Below are 26,484 nucleotides of genomic sequence, written 5' to 3'. Positions count from 1 at the left end.
GTCTCTGCCTTAGAACTCCACGAGTTGGGAGGATGAACGAACTTCCACGTTTTGATTTCCAAACAATTTCCCTACCCTTGCATTGTTAAAAGATAAACAGGAATAAGTGTTCTGGCTGTGAGTGAATTTTTTTTCTTAACATGTTTTGGCCTGGATACTATCTGAAGGTGTTACCCAAGCAGTGGGGTGACTTTGCTGACGACACAGTTACTCAATACTCCCCAGCTCAGGGTGAAGGTTAGGTGGCACGTTGGCGGGACATGTGACTCACATGCGCAGGTGTGTTCCTTGGGAGGAAGGCTTGGAACAGGCACCTGTGTGTGCCCAAGTGTTTCTAGCAAACACAGGGACCTGAGTGTCTAAGCACAGGCCCACTTTACAGGGGTCTCCTGAGAACTCCTCCCCCTCCTGAGAACTGTGCCTTCCCAGCCAGAAGTCACTCATACAGAATGTTCCCAACTTATGAATGGGCATTGTTCTCAGAAAGAGAATTTGTAAGTCAGTTGTTTAGAACGGGAAGGCATCTCCCCAGATAAACAAGTGTATGTGTGATCTTTGTTATTCAGGAAAGCCTAAAAGAACATCTTGTGTCCCAGAAATCAAGGACTGTACAATGGGAACAGAAAACTCCAGCTGGTGGAATCATGTGGCCCTCAGAAAATGCCTTCCAACTTCTAGCCTGAGATCCTGGGAATCTTCTCCACTGTCACAGACCTTCTGTGAGAAGGGGGGACGCTTCCCAGCTCCACGTCCCTGATGTGGCTGCCATGTCCTGGGGCAGAGGCCAGTGAGGAGAAGCAGCTGGGTGTAGGCGGCCAGGCCCTGGGGGCTAGAGGGGGCAGAGTCCATTCCCAGAGCTCCTTTCAGAGTCCGCTCCCTGTCCATGTCCTCTGAGGGCCCAGGGGTGGGCCTCCTTGCCTTTGCCTTCTTGAAGTTTCCTTGGCCGGGAGCAGTGGCTCACGCCTGTAATCCCAGCACTTTGGGAGGCCGAGGCTGGTGGATCACTTGAGGTCAGGAGATAAGGACCAGCCTGGCCAGCATGGTGAAACCTCGTCTCTACTAAAAAAAAATACAAAAATTAGCCGGGTGTGGTGGCGCGTGCCTGTAATTCCAGCTACTCAGGAAGCTGAGGCAGGAAAATCGCTTGAGCCTGGGAGGCAGAGGTTGCCGTGAGCTGAGATCACGCCACTGCACTCCAGCCTGGGTGACAGAGTGAGACCCTGTCTCAAAAAAAAAAAAAAAAAAAAGTTTCCTAAGTCTTTGATTCTTAGGACAAAGTGGTAAACAGACTGGGGATTTAAAAAAAAAAAAAAAAGACTCCCATGTGATGGCGGGGTGGAAGGTGGAATGCTCACTTTTCAGGTACTGGCCTTCTCAGGAAAGACCAAGACCAACATAGAGAAGGATGGTGGATTTCTGGGTATACAAAAGACCAAACAAATCCAGATCATCAAGGTTAGACCCCTTGCATTTGTGGTTGGCTTCAGTTGAGATGATTCCCAAGAGCTTACATAATAAACTTTACTTTTTTAAAAAGCATATTTTCATTGATCTTGCCATGATATAAGCAAGCTATATCTTATACACTTATCTATATCTATGTAAGATATACCATTACCCTTTTCTTTTTTAATACAGGGTCTTGCTCTGTCACCCAGTCTGGAGTACAGTGGCTCGATCCTAGCTCACTGCAACCTCAAACTTCTGGGCCCAAGTAATCCTGCTACCTCAGCCTCCCAAAGTGCTGGGATTACAGGCATGAGCCACCATGCCCAGCCTCAATATTTTAAAAGTTTATATTTTACAAAAGGCTTTCACATCCATATGATTTAATTTGAGGTAGAGAGAGTATTATTTCTGTTTTATTGCTGAGGAAACTGCCTGAATCACTTAACTAGTTGGTTGGGAAGCCAGGTCCTCTGTACTGAATCTTGTGCCCTTGCTGTTTTTAGAGGCTGATTAATCCCTGAAAGGGAGATGGGACACACAGAACCCTCTAGCTGAAATGAATCTCCAGAGAATGTCTGGTTTTCTCCCTGGCTCTAGACTCTACTAAATTCTAAAAACATCTAAATGCTCTTCTTTTCTTAAACTTCTCTGGGGAATGAAATCTATCCTCTCAGTTACCTGTCCCAGCAACAAATAGCCACTCTGTTTAGAAATCCATGCTGTAAGGCTGGGCGCGGTGGCTCATGCCTATAGTCCCAACAATTTGGGAGGCCAAGGCGGGCGGATCACCTAAGGTCAGGAGTTTGAGACCAGCCTGGCCAACGTGGCAAAACCCCATCTCTACTAAAAATACAAAAATTAGCCAGGCGTGGTGGCATGCGCCTGTAGTCCCAGCTACTAGGGAGGCCGAGGCAGGAGAATCGCTTGAGCCCAGGAGGTGGAGGTTGCAGTGAGCCGAGATCTCACAACTGCACTCCAGCCTGGGCAACGAGCAAGACTGTATCTCAAAAAAAAAAGAAAAAAAAAAAGGAAAAAAGAAAGCCATGCTGTATTTCTATCTTTGGTCTTTTTTGTTACAAAAAAGAAAAAAAGTTTGTTTAGCAGAGAAAGTGTTTTTGACTACTTTGTTGGAAACAAGCAATAAGGGGCTTGGAAGACAAAGAACTAGCCTGTGGTTACTGGGTCAGTTCACAACAGTCCACAGCAGAACTGAAATAATAACAAAGGCAAAAATGGGAACATATACATTTTCCAGAGCAATTTCTCACTTCCTATGGCAGCTAAACTTTGCAAAAACCCTGAGCTGGCACCGGGAACTGAGGAGCAAATAAAGCCTGGAAGCCTGATCCTTCTTCCTCAGAGGCTTTTGAACAATTTGACAGCAGAGCCAGGGCTGCAATTCTGGTTTCTTGACCCTGGGATTGAAAAAACCACATCTCTGACCTGGCACCTGGCATGGTGGTTTATGCCTGTAATCCCAGGACTTTGGGCTGCCAAGGCAGGAAGATTGCTTGAGCCCAGGAGTTTGAGGCCAGCCTAGACAACACAGTGAGACCCCAGTCTCTACAAAAAATTAAAAAAAAAAAAAAATAGCTGGTCATGGTAGGGCACACTGGTGGTCTGAGCTACTTGGGAGGCTGAGGCAGGAGGAATACTTGAGTTCAGGAATTCAAGACCAGCCTGGGCAATAGAGTGAGACCCTGTCTCTACAAAAAAATGAACAAAATTATCTGGGCATGCTGGCGTGCACCTGTAGTCCTAGCTATTGAGGAGGCTGAGATGGGAGGATCTCTTGAGCCCAAGAGGTCAAATCTCCAGTGAGCTATGATTGAGCTACTGCACTCCAGCCTGGGTGACAGTGAGACTCTGTCTGAAAATAAAGAAATAAATAAAGCAAGCCAAATTTCTCTGCCCATCAAAGAGTCAAATTGACTTTACAGATTAGCAGAGTTTTCACTGTGAGTTCTTAATTCAGCATGCAGCCCAGGTTCCCAAGTTCAGGACTGCTGAAGACAGCCCCTGGGGACTTTCTCAAGAGAGAAGGAGAAGCCCCAGCTGGATTCCGGGCCGGTCCTAGGGCACAGCCAGCAGCCTGTGTGCAACTGTGTGGTTGCCGGCTGTTCCCTGCTCGGGCCTGCATGGGAGCCAGCGACATTCAGTGGCTTCGTTCGAGATACGATCTTTCAGGTCTGTCCAGATTTGTGAGCTGCATGATCTCGTGCGGTCTGATTGCGAGGCTGTTTGGATGCACGTAGCCTCTTGTGCATCTCTCCAAAGTTGCAGAACCAGGTCACAGATGCAGACCAAGCTTAGGGCTTGGGTTTGCCTCACAGAACATTCCCTTCCTCATCTGACTGTCTAATGCTGGTCCAACTGACCACACCGGAGGTTAGAAACAGATCCGGGAAATTAAGTTCACACATTTTATCATGTGGGAGGATTTAAGGATGGACTCTGATTTTAGTCTTTTGCAAGATGCTAATCCAGGATAGTTTACCATTCCTCCATTCCTTCCTTTTCCCAGGTCCAATCTTTTTTTTTTTTTTTTTTTTTTTTTAAGAAATAGAGTCTCGGGCCAGGCGCGGTGGCTCACGCCTGCAATCCCAGCACTTTGGGAGGCCAAGGTGGGCTGATCACGAGGTCAGCAGTTTGCGAGCAGCCTGGCCAATATGGTGAAACCCCATCTCTACTAAAAACACAAAAAAATTAGCTGGGTGTGGTGGCGCGTGTCTGTAATCCCAGCTACTCGGGAGGCTGAGGCAGGAGAATTGCTTGAACCAAGAAGGCAGATGTTGCAGTGAGCCAAGATCGCACCACTGCCAATGGAGAGAGACTCTGTCTCAAAAGAAAAAGAAATGGAGTCTCACTATATTGTCCAGGCTGGAGTGCAGAATGCAGTAGTTATTCACAGGCACGATCGTATCACACCACAACCCCAAAGCAATCCTCTCTCTCACCTCAGCCACCAGAGTAGCTAGGACTACAAGTGTGTGCCACCACACTCACTCCAGGTCCAATGTTGAGTGGGTAGATACTGATGCTTTACTCTGAATCCCCATCCTTAGACCTCTAACAGCCTGAGGCCCTGGCTACATTTCCTCTAAACCCAGCTCTGTCTGCAAATGGCCATGCCACTGCATGGAAGGCTTGGTGTAGTCAAATGTAATCACATATCAACAATCCCCTATTATAGCTGCTAAGCAGAATCACCCAAGGCATCTTTTTAAAACACAGAGTCAATCCCAGACCCCACCCCAAATTGACTCAATCAGAATCTCAAGGCCTGGGCCCTAGGAATCTGATGTTTTTTCAATAGAGACAAGGTCTTACTATGTTGCCCAGGCTGGCCTCAAACCCCTGAACTCAAATGATTCTCCTGCCTCAGCCTCCCAAAGTGCTAGAATTCTAGGCGTGAGTCACGGTGGCTGGCAGACTCTGAATTTTTAAATCTCCCCAGATGATTTGATTTAGCCAGATGAAGGGATGGAACCAGTGCCTAGAATGCATGAGCTCCCTCCTTACCAGCACCACAAAAGGGGAAAAAACCCACCTCTGTCCCCACTGCCACACATTAGGTAGCACTTGAGACTCCTCAGACCGAGGTAGCCAGGTGCAGCCCAAGCTCTGCGCCACACCCAGTCACCCTCCCTCTCCCATAACATATGAACACCTCCTCCCATCACCTGGGCTCATTTTTCTCTGAGCAGGTAGAGACTGTGGGGCCATGAGGAGTCCCAAGAGCTGCTCATTCCACCTCTCTCATCTAAGACCCACATCCCTCCACTCCCCTGCTCTGAACCCAGAAGCCCCAGGCGGGAGCTGAGTCACAGAAAGACAGGAGTCACTGCTCCTTCCCTTGCCTCCTCGGTGGGTACACCAGGAAGCGAGCACTGCATTCTCCTATGGAATCCCAATACCTGCTTCTGCTTCCTACCTTCTGTCCCAGCAGAGCCTCTGGTAGAGTCCCCTGTTCCAGCACGACATGCAGTTTCAGTGCTGTGCCTGGTGGGACTGCATCGCCAGCATGTCACAGGGCCAGGGCCACACTGAGTTTAGGGATGGGGCCTTTGAGAAGCTGAAAACATGTCACTTAATTCAAATATATTTACGGTTGTCTCCTTGTGATAGGAATTATGCATTTGTGATGGAGTTGAGTCCTGGCACAGAGATCAAGAGGCCGGAAGAGCAGATTGGAAAAGGGAGTTCAGAAGCTTAGTCCATGGTCCTGTCCGCTCAAGATCAGACATGCTTGGAGCTCTGCTGAATTTTAATCTTCACTCTTATTCAAAACCATTGACTCCTAACGCCTGGGAAAGCCAGTGGAGAGAGGGCTTCCCTCTGAGTAAATTCGAGGGAAGCATGTGGTAGAGAATACCCATGGCTGTCTTGTAAAATGAAGCCCCCAGGCACCAGCTCTAAATTCCCTACCGAATGTGACTTACTCATCTAGTTCCATCGTCCAAGGCCCCAGTTTTCTCTTTGCTTCAATATGTACATCAATATACTATCTTCAACTTTTGTAGCATTTTCTATGCTGTTTAGCCCTGTATGCATTATCTGTTTCCTTTTTTTTTTTTTTTTTTTTTTGAGACAGGGTCTCACTGTAACCCCAGGCTGGAGTGCAGTGGCACGATGATGGTTCACTATAGCCTTGAACTCCTAGGCTCAAGCAATCCTCCCACCTCACCCCCGGCCAGTAGCTGGGACTACAGGTATGTGCCACCATGCCTGGTTTTTTTTTTATACAGGGTCTCACTGTTACCCAGGCTGGAAGGAATGCAGTGGCGTGATCATGGCTCACTGCAGCCTCGAACTCTTGTGCTCAGGTGATCCTCCCACTTTTGCCTCCTGAGTAGCTGGGACTACAGGCAGGCACCACCATGCCCAGCTAATTTTTTGTGTTTTTTTAATAGAGACAGGGTCTCACTATGTTGCCCAGGCTGGTCTCGAACTCCTAGACTCATGCAATCCGTCTACTTCAGCCTCCCAAAGGGCTGGGATTACAGGCATAAGCCACTGCATTCAGCCTTTTTTTTTTTTTTTTTTTTTTTTTTGTGGAAACAGGGTCTCACTGTGTTGCTCAGGCTGGTTCAAACTCCTGGTCTCAAGTGATCCCCCTGCCTCAGCACCCCCAAAATCTTGGGATTGCAGGCATGAGCCACCGCACCTTGCCTGTTTACTTTAGATTTGGGATCCCCAAGTTCCCCCTGCCATATGCCCCTACCAAATGAAATCTCTCTAGTCACTCTTCTCATTCAACATTCATGGTGGCAAGACGAGGAAGATTATTGTACACTCCCTGAGACTTAGAAGGAAATGGGCACCTGTTATTTCAGCTGACCAGATTCCTTACCCAGAAATCCACCTGAAAGAGGTCTGGAGTCAGCATGAATTACTAGCTGTGTGAGGTGAGGGATGCCGCTTCACCACTCTGAGTGTTAGCTTTCCCATCTGAAACACGTGGATAATATTGGCTACACTGCAGAGGCCCTGAGAGGATTACATGTAATGTATGTAAAGCAGCTGGTACACAGTAGTACTCAATAAATGGTAGCTATAATTATTACTCACCTCCTTCATCATAATCTTCAAGCATGAAAAGTACTGTGGGTGTCTTGAGGGTCCAGCCGAGCAGGACAAGGCATTCCTTTCATGTTTTCTTTCCTAACTGCATTGCCCTCCTCACTCATTCTTTTAAAACTAAGTAAAATAAGACTGACCTAATTCTTCCCACATTTATCCAAATGAAAAATCTAGAACTCAGCTTTGCTGCTCTCCAGATTCTGTTTTCTGCCATCAATCCGCAAGGACACACCACCCAACTTTTTTTTAAATTTACAATTTTTTTTTGAGACAGAGCCTTGCTCTGTCGCCCAGGCTGGAGTGCAGTGGCATGGTCTCCACTTACCACAACCTCTCCCTCCCAGTTCAAGCGATTCTCCTGCCTCAGCCTACTCAGTAGCTGGGATTACGGGGGTGCAGGCTACCACACCTGCCTAATTTTTTTGTATTTTTAATAGAGATAGGGTTTCACCTTGTTGGCCAGGCTGGTCTCGAACTCCTGACCTCAAGTGATCCCCCCCCCCCCCCGCTTCGGCCTCCCAAAGTGCTGGGATTACAGGTGTGAGCCACCGCGCCCAGCCAAAAAAAAAAAAAAAAAAATGTTTTTTTGAACCAAGGTGCGGGCCAGAGCTATTCGGCTAGAACTGAGAAGATAGCGACACTGTGTGGTCACATGCAGAACTGCAGACCAGTCTGGAGTGGGTTCCAGGCTGATCATTTGCTCCGACCTAAGGCCGTGATATCTGTCAGATGAGACGTTAGGTCCATTAAAAAGTTTACTTGCATGTTAGAAAATAAAATGAGGAAGGAAACATAGCACCTAAAAAGCGTGAGTGTAATTATTTCCTATTTCACAGACGTGTCCTGCCTGTCATAGCATTCAAGGTCTATATGGCTTTTGCTGTCAAAACAAAAAGGACAAAAGAAGGCCAGCCACAGGGCGTAAGTCAGTTTTCTTTCTTTCTTTCTTTCTTCTTTTTGAGACAGAGTTTCGCTGTATTTGCCCAGGCTGCTGGAGGTGCAATGGTGCCATCTCAGCTCACTGCCACCTCCGCCTCCCGGGTTCAAGCGATTCTCCTTGCCTCAACCTCCCAAGTAGCTGGGATTACAGGCACCCACCACCACGCCCGGCTAATTTTTGTATTTTTTAGTAGAGACGGGGTTTCACCATGTTGGCCAGGCTGGTCTCGAACTCCTGACCTCAGGTGATCCGCCTGCCTTGGCCTCCCAAAGTGCTGGGGTTACAGGCGTGAGCCACCACACCCGGCTGTAAGTCAGTTTTCAAATGCCTGCTGGGTGCCCCCAAGAGCCGTGGAAGATTTGCAGAAACATCCTGGCAACCCTTACCCCTCTCAGGTCTTACTTTTTGGCATGCTCAGACCTTGAAGAATGAGGAAAATGTATGAAGGAAGCAATTGATACTGTAGAGTGGTCCTGTCAGAGGGAAGATACCTTTAAATCATCCACAGGGATGACTGGCCTTCAAATACAGCTCAGTATTGAAAAATGAATGCACCTGCAGGGCAGAATACCAGCCAGGGGCTGTCACTGACTCTAGTCTATTCTCTGCTTCTTAGCAACTTGGCTGCCTGAACCCTGCAAGGTAGATGAATGGGTGTGTGTCCTATCCTGGGTTATTCAGAGAACAGAAGCCTTCCTCTTCACACTAGTGGGCTCAGGTTTTTCCTTATTTTAGACAATCCTCAGGACTTGTTCCATAATTATGCATTTTCACAGATAAAAGACTCCTCAGTAAAGCTATCATGAGAATTTCCAGAGTAAATACTTAGGGGTCTCATTCACACCAACTGGATTATGTGTTCTCTGGATCTAACCATCCGCCGAGAAATTTATGAGAACGTGAGCAGTTCCTCTCACCTTGATGAGTTCTTCAGCCCCTCCACTCATTGACTTGAACTGCTGCAAAGTCATGCAATGGTGGACAGAGCCCTGACCAGAAGCCCCTCCTGGGAATCTGGGACAAGGACCAGGAGAGATTCAGAGTCCCTTCCTGGGGCTGGAACTGTGAGAGAGAGAGAGAGAGAGAGAGAGAGAGAGAGAGAGACCTCAGAGGAGAGAGGAGGAAGGGAGAGGGATCCAGAGGTGTCCAGGTCAGCTCCTGAAGACCCTGGCGTCTTTGAGACTCTTGGGACCCTCATGTCATACTCCTTCTTCATAATCTGACTCAAATTGGTTTCTATTACTTGCAATTTTGATAGAACAAATGATATGATGGACCACGCAGTTAATCACATTATGCCTCAGTTTCCTTGTCTGTTCATGAAGAAACATCATTCATTCATTCACTCAGCAAATATCTATTGAGTGCTTTCTTTGTGCTAGGCACTGTTGTGGGTGATGGCAGACATAGCAGGGAACAAAAGAGGTATCAAAACTTCCCTTATGAAACGTAACTGCTGCTAAGAAGTCTCTGGAAATAAATATACGAAAGACGTAACTTCCAAATCAGGGACCAGCCGAAGAGCTGGCTGACCCAACAGGCAGAGCACCAATATGGAATGAGGCCAGGGTCACTTCAAACAGTACTCACTCCTTTTGGCTTTACAGTGAGATTGGATCAAAAGGGTTCACCTTTTCTATAGTGTCTGTTCTTTCACGTCTTTCCTTGGGTCCCTGCTGAAGTCCCCTCCTGATATTCTGCTGAAAGCCTCCCCACCACCCGGTTTCCACACCAGCAAACCCTCTCTTGCCCCGAGTGATTTGAGTCTGTTTCTTTCTCTCTCTTTCTCTCTCTCTGTCAATACTGCAGTTTCCTTCTGGCTTTGGCTGTGAGCAGCTTTCAGTCTATTTTCAGTTCTCCTGTGGAGCAGCAGATAATACACATACATCTGTAATTCTTAAAATCTCATTGGAACCATCCCTCCTCCCACCCAGTTGTTTATCACAACGACTTAGAAGGCCTAAATTAACTGATTCAGCTCTGTCTTCTACTGCTGCTTCTGGTAGGGCTGCAAATGAGCAGCATGAAGACCAAAAGGCCTGCAGCAAGAGGGAGGAAGCAAGGACTGGAGAATCTACGTGAGGAATGCCCAAACTCTGCAACAAGCTAGAAAATTAACTGTGGATGGCTTCAGTCTTCCACACTGCCTGACGTCTGATCCTCACTGCTGGGCCCAAATCTTCTTACTTCAGAGAAAAATGGGCAAGCTCCCATACTTCTTATGTAAAACCAGAATTAAAGCACCCACCCTTTACTTACTGTTTTAGTATAAACACAATGCAGAGATTCTTACATAATAAAGAACTAACAGTAACACTTAGCAACCATGGCTCACAGCCCTTCTCAGCTCCCCAACATTCCTTCTAGAGATATGAAGCCTGTCATCACCAGCCAGGCAGAGGACAAACATTTCCAATAAAGATAGACAACCCAGGCTCTGCAACGTCTCAGCCAGAAGTGTTGAGTTGTTTTTAATTTTTTACATACTCCATGCCTCTGGTGCCTCTCCACCTCCACCCCCAAATTAATGAAAAATACTCATTTCCAGACACACACATAGAGAGACACACACACACACACACACACACACACACACACACACACAGAGGTTCTCCCAAAATCCACCTGCCCAGTGTCAGTGGTGTCTGGCAATGGAGCAGAGTGTTTCAGATGGAAACACTATTTTCCACACTCTCGGGGTGGTGTGGCTCTCTGCCAAGGAATAGGCTTGTCTGATAAGCTACTGCATCTGTAAGATCTCTATCTCATGGAGGACATCTTGCTAGTTCCTAAAACTGCAGGGGATGACGGAGCTTAAATACGATACTAATGATTAAAGAGAGGAAGCAGGGCAGAATTTCCAAGGCAATAGCCAATTTGAGGTTTCAATACAAAGAGCAAGTTTTGTTTCTCACCTCAAAGGATGGAGAGTGGAAGAGAACAAAATGGGCTCTCCAAGTAAGGACTTTGAATCCAAGTTCTGGAGAATTTGTCCATGATGCTTGGATGAATGGAAGCCTGCCCTAACCTCAACCATACCTGTGACTGCCTTCCTATCCTCCCATCCTCTAGCTGTCCATCTGTCTTCTTATTAAATGGAGGCAGTCAGGCATACCTTTCTCTTAATTTTTGAAGATAAGGCAAAGACAAATAGCTAAGAACATATCGCCTTATGATAGACATTCAGGAAATAGATCAGTAGGTCTCTACCCATCGTAGGCAGAGGAGGGAGGGAACATCCCAGGGCAAATCAGTTCTGCCCTGTACCAGAAAGCTCTTTCCAACGCATCAGCAAGGTTCCCTGGGATGGCTGGGACTGCTTGGTCGAGGCATTACACCAATGTAATGATCTGGTGAGACTACATGTTGATTATAACACATTTCAGGTACTAGGGAACCCTGCCAGGGGCTGCAGAGAGCACTGGGCTGGGAATCAGGACCAGGCTTCCTGCCTCCCGGCAGGTCTTAGCTCTCCGTAACCGCAAGTCCAGTGTGGTCTTTGAGCTAACAGCATCGGATCCCTTCAGGTCCCAGGCTCTGCCCCAGACCAGCTGAATATGAATTCCTGGTGCTGGGGACCCAGCACTCTGCATTTTTACAAGCACACTAAGGTGTGGGACCTGCTCAGGATCTGGAGGTTCTTATCTGGAGCCCCAGAAGCTTAAGCTGTGATTGCCATGTTCCCTTCCTGCTCCAACATTCTGTGATTCTGAGCAGAAGCTCACTTGCTTTTCTCAGGTTGGTTTCCACATTCTCCAGCCACATTCCTACAGCGTTACTGGTCACTTCACAGACAGGATTCCAATCCACCAGGATTCAACAAGCAAGTAACAAGTAACTATACCCGTATGCCAACCTACTTAGAAAAATAGGTCAGTGGATGCAACAACCACGCTGGTGTTTGAACACAACTTGCTCCCACATCAGAAAGAAAACTGATTCACTCTACCACTTGCCATGACTCTGCAGGAAAACCTTACTCTGATAAGGATTATCCATCTCCCTCCATGAACACGGAAGTGACTTCTGGGGATTGTGGACAATCATTCTCAGCTCATTTCTGGGGGCTTCTAAGAACAGGTTAGATTTCAGCTCTTAAACAGTTTGAGCACCTGATACAAAGTAATTCCCCAAACCTCTAGAACTGATGTGGGGAAGAACAGTGATGTTAGCCAGTGTTTCAAAACCCTATTATCATGGTTGATCTGTGCATCTGGATAGTTATGGTTAAAGGTGGTTAAGATGGTTAAATGTCAATGAATGAAGACGAGGACATGGTTTTCATCTTTTGTAGACCAATTCACTTCAATCATTTTTTTTTCTTTCGAGACAGGGTCTCACTATGTTGCCCAGGCTGGAGTGCAGTGGCATGATCTTGGCTCACTGCAACTTCTGTCTCTCAGGTTCAAACAATTCTCCTGCCTCAGCCCCCAAGTAGCTGGGATTACAAGTATGCACCACCATGCCTAGCTAATTTTTGTATTTTTAGTAGAGATGGGGTTTCGCCATGTAGGCAAGGCTGGTCTTGAACTCCTGACCTCCAGCGATCCACCCACCTCAGCCTCCCAAAGTGCTGGGATTACAGGCATGAGCCACCCTGCCCGGCCATAACTTCAATCATTTTCTTTCATGAAAATGAAATGTCACCTTGAAAGTATCAACCAAAGGAATCTGGGTAACAGTGTGAGTTAGCTACAGGTGAAATAACTCTAGGTCTGAGGTTCTTGGTTGGGTCAGAACATTCTCCCTCAGGTACTAAAGAGACAGGTAGTATGCATGGCATAAATGCCCTCAGGCAGAATCTCTTTTAAGCAGTTTTGCAATATCATTTGCTCATTATAACCCAAATTAACACATTAATTATTTCTCCAGAAATAAAGTTTTCTAGAATAAAACTGATGTCTTTCTGTAGTTACCGGCTCACCTGCAGGCTGGTCACTCTACAGCAGCCTGGCTCCATGTCTCCCTCAATCACTCCTTCCTCCCTTTTTAGGATAATAACATCTCCCTTCCTGGATCCTCAAGCTCAGCCTTACCCTCCTGGCCCCAGATACTGGAGTCCAAAATTGCAGACAGCAACACAGAGGAGACGGCAAAGGGCATCCCCATTACCCGTGCTTTAACAGGGACCCAGGGAACAAGCCAGGGTTCGCTTGGTAGGCTATCAAATAGGGGAAGGGAAAGAGGCAGGTAAATGTGAGGTTTCAATTTAAATTTCTGAACTCCCTTGTGTATAGCAGTAATATTAATGGCTACCACTTCCTGAGTGTTTAACTGTGCTAGCTCTTGGGGTGAATGCCTAAATGCATCACCTTATTTAATTCTCAAAACATTCATCTGTTCCTCTCCCTGATCACCAGACTATACAGTCTAAGGAGTCTCAATTTCCTTACCCTCATCCACACTGCAGAGCAGAGTTCTAAAGGCCAAATAAAAAATAAAAGGAGACTCATGAAAGATCAGCGTGGGTCCAAATAAGGAAAGGGAGCAAAACCTCCATGAAGGGCATTTAATGTCAGAGAGAAACCGTACACCTGGGGCAGAGATGATGAGCACGCCGGGCCCGCCAGCCTGACCCGTTGCAGCGTCCTGTGGTTTGTGAGGCCTCCCTCGGTGGAGGAGTGACAGCAGCAGCTCAAGCTTCCCCTCCCCGGGGGTGGGGGAAGACAGTATAACGTCCACGCAGCCTGGTCATGCACCCTGGCTTCTGCAGCCCAGGCGCAAACATTCAGTTTAGGGCTTTCCTGACATGTCAGGTCAAATGGCCCCCTTTCCTCTTCAGGTAGGAGCTAGTGAACCGTGGAGGATGAAGAATTCTCGCTGGAAAGGCAGGCCTGAAGTCCGGGAGGTGCAGATCTCTCTGTGGTCACTGGGCCAGAGATGACCTTGGACTTCTCATTTTAGGGAAGGAGCCGTTCCTGTAAACTGCAGATGCCGCACAAGTGCACGTGGATGAAAGAGTAAGAGAGCACCAGGCCTCTTACGGAACCCATCTACATTCTGGACAAGACCCTGAAGACATCGAGGTTGAAGCTGAGTTCCCGCCACCTTCATAGGGCCTCTTGGCCTAGTGGCCAGGATCACAGGCAGTCCTCTAACCAACAAAGACTCTAGACTTCCAGACAAGATCATCTCCTCCATCCAACCACAACCTCCCTCCTCCAGGCCGTGGTGGACAGACAGTAAATATTTCCAAGTCCCTACATCCTGAGAGTCCTCGCCAGAGGGAGAGAAAAAGCCCTGTCTCCCACCCACCAAGAGGAGAGAACCAGCAAAGTCCACTCCTCAGAGATCTCCAGCGTCTCTTAAATAAGCTCTTCCTTTCCATTTTCATCTTTCCATTGTATAGCACCCACCCATTTACTTATACAAATATAAAATAGATTTATATAGATTTATATAATATAGACCTTTGTGAGGCAGAGTGCAGGGGGGCCGGGAGCAGGCCCTCCGGGCTATTTACAGATGTACTGGTCCACGATCTCCGTGCACTTCTTACACCTGACGAAGCAGCACCAGTGGAACTTGCAGTGGCAGCGCTCCACCTGCACGCTCTTGAACTGGTTGTAGCCACGCCCGCAGCACATGAGCTCACAGCCATCCATGCCCTCCGAGGTCTTGTTGCAGAGGCGGCCCTGCGTGCCCAGGGAGCCCGTGCTCTCGTTGCGCAGGCAGTAGTCGGGGCTGGGGTCCACATAGACCAGGTCCTCCGGGGTGGGCTGGGTGAAGCGGCTGTTGACCAGCTCCAGCCGGCCCTTGCGGGTGACGCGCATGGCGGCCGCGCTGTCGTACTTCTCCTTCAGCCGGTCCCCGACCTTGCGGAACTCGGCCAGCTGCAGCCAGCAGGTCTTGAGGCTGCAGGACCCCGAGACGCCGTGGCATTTGCAGGCTACGTCTGCCATCTTATACACAGCCTAGGGGAAGAGAAAGAAGGCAGTAAGAAGGAGGATCCCGGTGGAAGAGGCCCAGAGGGTGGCTGGGGTAGCCACAGGCCTAGTACACAGGAGGGGCCGGTAGGGTAGGGGATAGATAGCTTTTCAAATGCATGCAAAGATCTTTCCAAGATGCTCAGGTGCTCAGGGGGAAAACATAAAAGAGGCACCACAGAAAAGAACCCTGGGGCGGCAAGGCAACTTGTCCCCATCAGCCGGGAGGATGGCACCAGGCACTTTCACTTTCTACTCTACTGGTTTCTCATTCCTCAAAACCTGTTACAATCAATGCATCCTTTTCACAATCGGAAAACAAAGATATCTCCATCTTGATCAAAGCCTCAAACAAATAAATAATAACCAACAAAATACAGCCAGGCACTGTGGCTGGTGCCTGTAGTCCCAGCTACTGGGGAGGCTGAGGAAGGAGGATCACTTGAGCCCAGGAATTTGAGGATGCAGCAAGCTATGCTTGTGCCACTGCACTCCAGCCTGGGCAACAGGGCAAGACTCCATCTCTAGAAACAAAGCAAAACAAAACAAAATAACAAAATGTGTCCAGCTTTTGCGTAATAGGAGCACAAGTCAGAAAAAAGAATCCAATTGTATCACAAGCCTATCACAGAAATCACTGGCATAGCCGTGGTTAGCCCAAAACTCTCCCTGATCCTGTCAAATACCCTGAGAATTAAATGGTCCCTTTCCCCATGTTACCATGTAGTCACTAACTCCATAGAGTCATCAGGAGTCTTGCCATACACCATCCATTTGTGAGCAAGACCACCGTCTTCCTCCCGAGCAGCCCCCAGACGCCCCCTTGGGAGAGCTGGAGTAACACAGTGAAGCAACGTGCAAGGGAACTGCAAGCAGCTGGGCCTGCCTGCAGGAGCGGTTCATCTAAAACAAGTCTACCCCAGAAGTCACAGAACCGCCACAACGTGGAGTAGATTTGAACTTGAGTTATCCCAAATCAAAATGTAAAAGCAAGAGCAGACCAGAAAGCTGCTTACAGAGTGCTTTTCAACGGCAGCATGCTGACGCACCATGGCAACCAACCCTGGCAGCAGGCCTAGACGTGCAGATGGCGGGATGAAAACGCAAGCCGGCTGCAGAGCATTTTCTTATGCATGGCTATTGTCACCAACTGAGTCAGGACTCATTTTTCAAGGGTTTCTCTTAGATTTCTTTTCAAGAGCCCCCAGATTGTGTCTTTATTCAGAGCTAAGCAGAGACCACTGCAGGTGCAAGAGACAGCACAGCCATCATCAGTGCATATGACTGTTGGCAAAAGTCTTCCTGAGTTTTTTCTGGTACGGAATTATTCCCACTATTTTATGGTGGAGAAACTGAAGCTCTAGAGAGGCTCACTAACCTCCAAGGCCACCCAGAAAGGACTCAGAATAACAAGCACTTATCCACTCCAATCTCGGGGCTTAAAGCTGGCTTAGAGCAGAGGAGGAAGGAAGGCTCTCCCCAAGGTTAAAGGCACCAGCACTTAGCCGGGCAGCTCCAGGTCCAAGACATAAAGGAACTGACACCCCATCCTGACAGACACTTCAAAGATGGGGCCTGCAATGACCCTTCCATCCCAAATGCCCTGGGTCTGAGCTGCAGCCTGACATTCCTCTGGAAATGGTCCTTGGCTTAGAGATGGATGACAGGCGTCTGGCACTGCTGAGAGGAGGAAACATTAAGGGTTGGAAACTGTGCACTTTGCCACTTAGCAACTCGGAGCACGGATAAGCATCTCTTGCAGGGGCAAACACTCAGACAGAGTTGGGGAAGGAGAGTCGGAGCAAGACCCTGCAGGGCAAGGACCAGAATTTTAGGAAAACAAATCCAAGAGGAAGTGCACCAGCTTAAACACCCCCTCCATCCTTCCCTGAATTCAAAGACATTGTAGAGATAGGAATATCTGCAATTTTTTTCATATTTTACTACTGATTTTATATATATATATGTATATATACAAAATCTCCTTTTGTAGATATATATATATATATATAGGCTCCTTTTGTAGGCGATAGGGGGAAATGCCGATTTTCAGCCCAGACTGCTAATTCAAAAAGCAAAAAAAAAAAAAAAAAAAGCTTTCAAAAATGTTTTAGTTCGCCGGGCATGGTGGCTTATGCCTGTAATCCCAGCACTTTAGGAGGCCAAGGCGGGCGGATCACCTGAGGTCGGGAGTTCAAGACCAGCCTGACCAACATGGAGAAACCCCGTCTCTACTAAAAATGCAAAATTAGCCCAGGCGTGGTGGCACATGCTTGTAATCCCAGCTACTAGGGAGGCTGAGGCAGAAGAATCGCTTGAACCTGGGAAGCAGAGGTTTGCAGTGAGCCGAGATCGCGCCATTGCACTCCAGCCTGGGCAACAAGAGCGAAACTCCGTCTCAAAAAAAAAGAAAAAAGTTTTAGTTCTACGATCTGTCCCTGGAAAAGCGCCTCTCAGCTCCTCTTCCACTTCTATCTAATGGTGTGCTGAGCCTGGTGACAGACAGGAATGTTACAGGATTAGGCACCAGGCTTTTATCTGGAAAATGCTTAGAAATCCTTGAGTGGCAAAACACCATCAGCCACTGGTGTTGCCGCCACCGTCTAAGAAGGAGCTACTAGATGCTCTTGCAGGCCAAGAGAAACTTCTGGCAAAGTAGCCTAAGATTTACTCTGTGTCAAGACATCAGATCCTGGATAATCTTTTTTTCTTTTTAATATGGTTCTAAAATACTTGTCTATTTTCCATCCCAGCCATCACTCAGTCCTTGCTGGAGAACTTTGTGTGTAGGTGTGAGGAGGCAAGCAGTGAATACCTCTGGCCTCAGATGGTGACTGATGGCCGAGGCCTGTTCCTTGGAGAGAGGATAAAAAATAAAGGGGGCCAGGAATTCCCAACCTGAAGCAGGCAGAGGCAAAGGGAGAGATAAGGAGTTAAGGAAGAGGAGAGGTGTGGGGCCTGAAGGAAGGGGCTAAGCGGGGAGACAGACAGGGAAGGTGAGCAAGCCAGGAACAAGCCTGATGGGAGGGAAGGCTGCCAGATAACAGCCCGGACAAGACAACAAACAATTAAGGGCAATAAAGTGAGACCCAGCAGCAGGGGAAAGGGGAAGAGTGGGTGTCACCTGCCTGATCACAGGCACGTGCAGACACCACAGCGCAGCTCAGCAGAGCCACAAGCAGCCTCCGTGAATCTGACCTCTCCCGAGGAGGCAACACGGAACTCCTCTGTGTATATCCATTTGTCCCACCCACATACAGCACATACAGGGTTGAAGCAAAGGGGCAGAGAGGGCAATCCCTGCCCACAGGAACCTACCGCCAACCTACCAAGGCAAAGGTAGATAGAGTAAGGAATACCTGAGAAGAGCAAGAATGCCCGATTGAAGATCAGGTGGGAGAAAAACTACTAACAATGGGGACTGGGGAGGGCAGTGTTTCAACTAAGATTTCAAAAACTGGATCGACTCTGGGCAGTCAGGAGATAAAGTGCGGATCTTAACCCCTTCATTGACATCTCTACTCCTCAGGCCCAGACACCCAAAGACGTGGGCAAATAGACTGGGAGACAGCCAAGACACCTGAGAGACCGGGTGGCTCCACACACGCCCTGAGCAGAAGTCATCTGAGATGGCTCCAGGCTCTCTGCCCTGGGTTAGCCTATCATAATCACAGATCAGCAATTGCCAGAACTCCTAACATCACCACGCACTGACCCCACCTTACACACACCCTTTTCTGGGAAACAAAAATAGCCTCTGGATAGGGGAAGCGTAAGGAAGACCCTGGGCATATAACCCACTCTGGTCTCCACCTGATGTCCCATGGCTGATGATGCTATGCACACAGGTGCACCACATTCCATCCGGCCAATACTACAACATCCCCATTCAGACAAAAGACACTTCCTATTCCATTTCTTTGATATGTGCTCCAATATATGAGTTCACATTTTTTTTCTTTTCTTTTTTCTTTCTATTTTTTTCTGAGACAGAGTCTCGCTCTGTTGCCCAGGCTGGAGTGCAATGGCAGGATCTTGGCTCACTGCAACCTCTGGCTCAAGCAATTCTCCTGCCTCGGCCTCCCAAGTAGCTGGGATTACAAGCGTGTGCCACCACGTCCAGCTAACTTTTTGTATTTTTACTAGAGATGGGGTTTCACCATGTTGGCCAGCCTGGTCTTGAACTCCTGACCTCAGGTGATCCACCCGCCTCAGCCTCCCAAAGTGTTGGGATTACAGGCATCAGCCACCGTGCCCCGCCTCTCATGAGTTCACATTTTAAGATTTTGCTATGTAAAGACATTTTGAGGCTTATATTCATATCCTGTTACTGAATCACCAGGGTGCCACCGTTAAACTTCTAAGAAATTGCCATTCTCATTTTTTTTTTTTTTTTGAGATGGAGTCTTGCTCTGTTGCCCAGGCTGGAGTGCAATGGTGTGATCTAGGCTCACTGCAGCCTCCGCCTCCCAGGTTCAAGCAATTCTCCTGCCTCAGCCTCCCAAGTAGCTGGGATTACAGGTGCCTGCCACCAAGTCCAGCTAATTTTTTGTATTTTTAGTAGAGACAGGGTTTCACCATGTTGGTCAGGCTGGTCTCGAACTCCTGGCCTCAAGTGATCCACCTGCCTTGGCCTCCCAAAGCGCTGGGATTACAGGCATGAGCCACTGCTCCCGGCCACCATTCTCATTTTTGAGTGAGTTCATCTTTGTTACATTACCTCGCCTGGGAACCAGAGCCAGCTGGCTTGACATAGACCCGAGTGGGGACAACACTCCAAGAAAGAAGTCCGTGCTGTTTCCTGAGAGCTCTTTTTCCAGGAGAAAGAGCCTCTCACCACCCAGTGCTCAGACCGCAGACCTTTCTCAGAGGAAACCCGGGTGGACGCCCATGTTGCCCTCGGTCCCTGTCAACACTGGCTATGCAGAAGCAGCAAAAGGCAGAGATTCCTGCGGGGCAGGCCCTCCAGTCTTGTGTGGCAGAGGCAGCCACGATGGGGGACAGCAAAGAAAAGAGGAGGCTGGATGTGTGCTCAGAGGGGGGGTTTTCAGGAACAAGGTGCAGGCAGAGAGGGTTCACGCTTTCCAGCATGCCACCTAGGGGCCCAGAAGCTGCCGCCCAGGTGTGCTCTGCACATACAATGAACCCAGCTCCCCTCAAACCTGCATGGTTGCTTCTGCTGAAACTGAGGCTTAAAAGACAGTCACATTACATGAGACTGGGGAGGCTGTTTCCTCCAGCCTTAAACAGATGGCTGTCTTCTCACACTTCCACTTATGTCTAAAATCTCCTAGCTCAGAAGTGTGTTTGTCATTAGTATTTGAATGTGTTTTTTGACTGGGTTCTGGATACGTATGACAGCAGTTCTTGAAAGTCGACTCTGCTATTACCAGAGCCTTTAACAGAGCATAAACCCTAGATGAGGTCTAACGGCCTAAACATCCCATCGCATTATCTATTCAAGTTGCAAAGGAGGGGTGGCCAAGACAAGAGCGCTGCTCTAATCCTTACGTCTGGAATTCTGATCCAAACATTGCACCTAAGTCCTCTAGGAACCGTGAAATAATAAAGTAAGTAAAAAGAAAAGAAGAAAAGAAAAGAAAAAGCACGTATGCCCATTGGGAAGTGGGGCATTTTGAAAAGGATTTGTTCAATAACGTGGACATGTAAATTTGCAATCGTAGGTAAGAATCTTCACGGTCAGACTAACCCGTTTCCTTGAAGGCCAGGCCACGGCTGGTGGCACAGCCCGGGAACAGCCCCCTAGGTCTGCAGTGCTGGGGAGGCCGGGGAGGCCCAGCTTACCCTGCGACCGGCCTCGTTGTTTTGCAGGTTCATGAGCACCCGGCCCTGCTCCTCTGATCCTTTGGCAAAGTTCTTCTCTCGCTCCCGGGCATCCACAAACTCCTTGGCGAAGCGGTAGCCGTACTCCACGTTGTCCCCACAGCCGCCCCACAGCCAGTCCCGGGGCAGGTCCTTGGGCCGCGCCGTCCGGCTGCAGCCGCAGGTGGAGAGCTCGCCCTCGCGGCAGGCCCGGCTGATGGCGTTGACCACGCCCGCGGCGCTCACCGCGTGGGTGAAGGCGGTCTCTCGGCTGCCTGCAGAATGAGGCCAGGGCGGTAAGCGGGTGCGCTCTCCTCTCCCGGGGACCTGTCCTTCCCCCCGTCTCCCCCGACGGACCCGCACGCCACGGCTCTGCTGACACCCCTGGGGCAGGGGGCTTCGCTTCCCGTAGCTCTAACGCTTGGAAACGTCTCTTTATAATGGGCTGAAATCTGCTGTTTTACTTCCGCCGCTGGGCCCCAGCTCAGCCCTGCGAAACCACCCGGAAGAAAACAAGTCCCTGGCCCGGCGCGGTGGCTCAGCCCGTAATCCCAGCCCTTTGGGAGGCCGGGGCGGGCGGACCACGAGGTCAGGAGATCGAGACCAGCCTGGCCAACACGGTGAAACCTTCGTCTCAACTAAAAATACAAAAAATTAGCCGGGCGTGGTGGCGGGCGCCTGTAGTCCCAGCTACTCGGGAGGCTGAGGCAGGAGAATGGCGTGAACCCGGGAGGCGGAGCTTGCAGGGAGCTGAGACCGCGCCACTGCACTCCAGCCTGGGCGACAGAGTGAGACTCTGTCTCAAAAAAAAGAAAAAAAAACACAAAAAAACAAGTCCCTCCGGTCCTGGCCTGCATTAATATCCACTGCAGAAGAGCCTGTGTGACCTGCAGATTCCTAGGCGGGAGACCTCAGCGGAGGGGAGAATAGGCATTCAGAAACACACAGAACATGGGAGTCGAACAGAATGAGGCTAAGGAAGAAATCATGGTATCAAGAGTAGGACGTTGTATCCTAGCAGAAATGTCTCCCTCACAGATGCCATTTCTCACGCTCTATGAGCTGCACATCTGTCTGTCGGTACTGCTGCCATTATCTAGCTAGACAGTGGCAGAGGCCAGGAGTCAAAAATGAACTAGAATTACAATGTCTAGAAAAATCCAAGCTGTCTTCCTCTCTCTTCCACAGGATCCACACTGCCTCCTAACTCAGGAGCCCTGGGAACAACATCTACAGCACCTACAATTCCAGACACTCATCACGGTCCCTCTAAATACGCAGATCATTTTCCAGCAGAAAATCCCAACTATGTTCCCCTTTACTGCTGTGGTGAACCACCTCAACATTCATATAATGTATGTTCTATTTCAGTAAAATGTCTGTTTCAGAATACTCAGCTATCAGGGACATGCAAGCCCAAATCACCTCCACTGGGATGGCTATCATCAAAAAGACAGCCAATAACAACTTGGTGAGAACACGGAAAAACCAGAACCCTCCCATACTGTGGGTGGGAATGGTTAAGCGGTGCAGCTGCTTTGGAAAACAGTCTGGCAGTCTAAGGCTAACAGTCACAAGGTTAAACGTAGAGTTCCCATATGACACAGCAATTCCACTCCTAAGAACACAGGCAAAGCTCCTCGTTTTACTATGCTCAGCTTTCTTGTGCTGTGCAGGTGTTGTGTTTTTTTGTTTGTTTGTTTGTTTGTTTTTGAGAGAGAGTCTCGCTCTGTCACCCAGGCTGGAGTGCAGTAGCACAATCTCGGCTCACCGCAAGCTCCGCCTCACGGGTTCACGCCATTCTCCTGTCTCAGCCTCCGGTATATGGGACTACAAAGGCACACCACTGCGCCCAGCTAATTTTTTGTGTTTTTAGTGGAGATGGGGTTTCACCGTGTTAGCCAGGATGGTCTCGATCTCCTGACCTCGTGATCCGCCCGCCTGGGCCTCCCAAAGTGCTGGGATTAGAGGCGTGAGCCACCGTGCCTGGCCGGTGTTGCGTTTTTTACAAATTGAAGGTTTGTGGCAACCCTGCTACAAATCTATCCGTGCTACTTTTCCAACAGCATGTACTTACTTTGTGTTTCTGTGTCAGCATTTTTTAGCAATAAAGTATTTTTAATTAAGGGATGTACTTTTTTTAAGATGTAATGTTATTACACACTTAATAGACTATAGAATAGTGTAAACATAACTTTTTTTTTTTTTTGAGACAGAGTCTCAGTCTGTCACCCAGGCCAGAGTGCAGTGGCACGATCTCAGCTCACTGCAACCTCTGCTGCCCGAGTTCAAACAATTCTCCTGCCTCAGCCTCCCGAGTAGCTGGGATTACAGGCACCTGCCACCGCGCCTGGCTAGTTTTTTTTTTTTTTTTTTTGTATGTTTAGTAGAGACGAGGTTTCACCATCTTGGCCAGGCTGGTCTTGAACTCCTGACCTCGTGATCCGCCCGCCTGGGCCTCCCAAAGTGCTGGGATTTCAGGCGTGAGCCACCGCGCCCGGCCCGCAGCATAACTTTTATATGCACTGGAAAACCATGCAACTCACTTTATTGCCTATTCACATTATTGCAGTATTATTGCAGTACGGTGGAACCAAATCTGCAAACCCACAATATCTCGAAAGTATGCCTTTATACCCAAGAGAAAGGAAAACATATGTCCACACAAAAATGGACATAGGAATGCTTCTTGCAGCATTATTCATAACAGGCAAAAATTGGAAACAACCAAACTATCCATCAGCGGATAAATGGGTAATCAAAATGTGGTATTATCCATACAATGGAATATTATTCAGCCATAAAAAGTGACTAGGCGTGGTGACTCACACCTGTAATCCCAGCAATTTGAGGCCGAGACAGGAGGATCACTTGAAGCCAGGAGTTTCAGAACAGCTTGGCAACATAGCAGTACCCCATCTCTACAAAAACATTAAAAAAGAAAAAAATTAAGCTGGGCGTGGTGGCTCATGCCTGTAATCCCAGCACTTTGGGAGGCCAAGGAGCATGGATCACATGAGGTCAGGAGTTCGAGACCCGCTTGGCCAACATGGTGAAACCCTGTCTCTACTAAAAATACAAAAACTAGCCAGGCGGGCGCCTGTAATCCCAGCTACTCAGGAGGCTGAGACAGAAGAATCATTTGACCCCAGGAGGCAGAGGTTGCAGTGAGCCGAGATCACACCATTGCATTCCAGCCTGGGCAACAAGAGTAAAACTCCATCTCAAAACAAAACAAAACAAAACAAAACAAAACTGGGCATGGTAGCATGTGCCTGTAGTCCCAGCTACTCAGGAGGTTGAGGTGGAAGAATTGTTTAAGCCCAGGAGTTGGAGGCTGCAATGAGCTATGATTACACCACTGCACTCCAGCCTGGGGAGCAGAGTAAGACCCTGTCTCAAAAAAAAAAAAAAAAGTATATATATATATATATATATATATATATATATATATATATATAGACTGCAACACAGATGAACCTTTAAATCATTGTGCTAAGTAAAAGGAGCCCGTCACCAAAGGCCATGTATTCTATAATCCCATTTATAAGAAATGCCCAGGATAGGCAAATCCATGGAGACAGAAAGAATAGTGGTCGCCTAGGGTTGGGGGTTGGGGTACGCAGAGTGACAGTTAACGGGTGTGCAGTTTCTCTGTGGAGCGGTGAAAATGTTATGGGATTAGACAGTGCTGATAGTTGCACAGCCTTGTGAATATGCTCAAAGCCACTGAATTTACACTTTAAAATGCTGAATTTCATGGTATGGGAGTTATGTATCTCAATAAAGCTGTTATAAGAAATAACAAATGATACTTATAGGGACTTAGATATGGAGAGAAGGGAGTGATTCTTAGCAGGAAACAGATTCAATCCTGATCTCAGAGATTAAACCAGGCAGAATCCCAGAGTCTTGTCTTGGAAGGTAGAAAGGGAAGCAGTCTGCAATCAACCGAGAGGTCTAGAGAAATCTCTCCCTTGGCCCTACTTCTTGATTATCTGGGCATGACACAGTGAAGTTTACAAACAGACCATGCTGAGTGAGTCCGTTTTTCTCTATTAACCAGTGGCTGGCTTCTGGTCAGTTGTGAAATAGGAATAGCCCAAGAAAAACCGAAATGATGGCAGGAAGTTACACTCATGATTCAGCCGACAGGACCCGGTCTACGGGGCTCAGAATGTGACAAGGAGCACTGGGGATGGTAAGATGGCCAAAGAGCCTCTCAGGGAGGAGGGTCTGGGCCCCACTTTGAGGAATTCATCTCCTTAAAATGCAGCCTCAACCACCTGACATGGCATCCTGGAACGGAGGGAGCCTCCCAAGCTTCAGCCCCGAGCTACCCTCCATAGCCACCGGAAGCTTTCCCTCTACACAGTTCCTCAGACCAGTGGGCTAGGTTTTCAAAGCAATCCATTCCATCTTTTTCAAATGACTCCAATCACCAGAATGCTCCTTCTTGTATTAAGCTGAAATACGCCTCCTTATGATTCCTGCCTGCTGCACTTGCACTCTGCTATAATCCCTTTCCCATTTGACAGCTCTTCAGTGTTTGAAAACAACTATTAAGCCTTTTACGTTTTCACTTTTCCAAGCTACATATGTCTGATTTATTTCTATCATTCTTTAGCAAACATGCTTTTCAGAGTTGAATCAGCCTTCTCAGAATTGCCTTCTAAAATCACGTACCTGCAGCTGAACTAACACACCAGACGTTCTGTACTCTGACAGTTCGAACCTATCATGACTGTTTGGGATCCTGATTTGTCCTCCGGTGCGCTGCCTGCCTCTTTCAGTCGGGTCTTCATCAGAAGCTGAGTGTGGGCAGCTCTGCCTTCACGGGGCAGCCTTTGGGCCCTTGGGTAAGCCTACTAAGTACCATCTACTGTTGCTACCTTCAGCAAGAAAGAGATAATTCGGGGCTTCAGAATGGATAAGCAACGTGGGGGTTTATCTATATACGCAACAGTTCAGGTTGAATCTCTAACCATCTCAAGAATAAACGGCTAAAAAAAAGCAGCCGTGAGCTACTAGAGGGACATGCGTCTTTTCCCTACAGGAGACAGCAGAACAATTTCATGCCCTCTCTGTTCCATAGCAGCCCAAGTTGCCTCCAAACTCCCTAGGCAGAAGCTGGGCAACGGGCCGAGGCTCCTCCGAGCTGCTCTGCCGCCCTCTGGTGACCGACTTTTGCAGCAGCTTCAAAGGAGAAAGGAAGCCTTAGACGGTCCTTCTCAAGATAGGGAGAGGGAGGACTCACCAGGAGCTACTCTGGGCTCAGGGGGGAGGAAGGGAGGACAGCCTCCTAGGTAGCATGAGCCTTCAGTGATGCTATAAAAAGGAAGGGGGAAAATTAGGCAAACAGAAGGGTTCCATTTTGTAACGGAATAGGGCACAGAGAGATGGGCTCTCTTCGACAGGGTTTGCTTTCGCTGGCCACCTAGTGCACATCTGAACCCAGCGGAGTGTCTTTTCCTGCCAACCCCTTTCTTTCCTAAAGTACAGCCTCACTTTGGGGCCTTTATGCACACGAAATACACATGAAAAGGATCTAGCCAACATCAGGCCTACTTTAGGTCTTCAATAAACATTAACTCCACTGAAGAGATTAGAGGAGACTCTGCACCTGGGCCGTCCTAGTTTCATTGCCCAAAACGCAGGGCAGGAAGTGCTGCCAAGATTTTCGCCAGAAAGAAGAGACAAGTGCCAGGTGGGTTTGAGAAGAATCAATAAACTATGAGTAAATCCCACTAAAACCCCAAGTCT

General features: G+C 48.3%; 1 protein-coding gene and 1 non-coding gene across 3 annotated transcripts in view, besides 2 other annotated features; one reads left to right on the top strand and one right to left on the bottom strand.

Moving 5' to 3' along the window:
* The first annotated feature begins 299 nt into the window (after nt 1-299).
* Nucleotides 300-365, top strand: MIR3649 (microRNA 3649). Its single transcript, NR_037422.1, has one exon. It is a non-coding gene; the product is annotated as a microRNA 3649 (primary transcript).
* Nucleotides 13,087-13,587: an enhancer, noted in NCBI's record as "H3K4me1 hESC enhancer chr12:1756259-1756759 (GRCh37/hg19 assembly coordinates)". NCBI's record gives its function as "activates a minimal SCP1, AML or CMV promoter by ChIP-STARR-seq in primed H9 embryonic stem cells {active_cell/tissue: H9 hESC(primed)}" and the evidence as "EXISTENCE:reporter gene assay evidence [ECO:0000049][PMID:30033119]".
* Nucleotides 13,468-26,484, bottom strand: part of WNT5B (Wnt family member 5B) — a 30,157-nt gene continuing 17,140 nt past the window's right edge. Inside the window, exons 4-5 of one of the 2 annotated variants that reach the window (NM_032642.3) lie at nt 20,704-20,996; nt 13,468-14,886 (exon numbers count right to left, since the gene is read on the bottom strand). In NM_032642.3, the coding sequence (NP_116031.1) occupies nt 14,428-14,886; nt 20,704-20,996 (752 nt within the window). In that variant the 3' untranslated portion in view covers nt 13,468-14,427. The remainder of the gene's footprint in view (nt 14,887-20,703; nt 20,997-26,484) is intronic. The other variant, NM_030775.2, reaches the window with a different exon arrangement.
* Nucleotides 13,588-14,088: an enhancer, noted in NCBI's record as "H3K4me1 hESC enhancer chr12:1755758-1756258 (GRCh37/hg19 assembly coordinates)". NCBI's record gives its function as "activates a minimal SCP1, AML or CMV promoter by ChIP-STARR-seq in primed H9 embryonic stem cells {active_cell/tissue: H9 hESC(primed)}" and the evidence as "EXISTENCE:reporter gene assay evidence [ECO:0000049][PMID:30033119]".

This window comes from Homo sapiens, chromosome 12 (genome assembly GCF_000001405.40).
Source record: "Homo sapiens chromosome 12, GRCh38.p14 Primary Assembly".
In the NCBI taxonomy this organism is placed as follows: domain Eukaryota; kingdom Metazoa; phylum Chordata; class Mammalia; order Primates; family Hominidae; genus Homo; species Homo sapiens.
The sequence above is the reverse complement of the archived record's forward strand: the minus strand, read 5'-3'. Positions and strand labels throughout refer to the sequence as shown.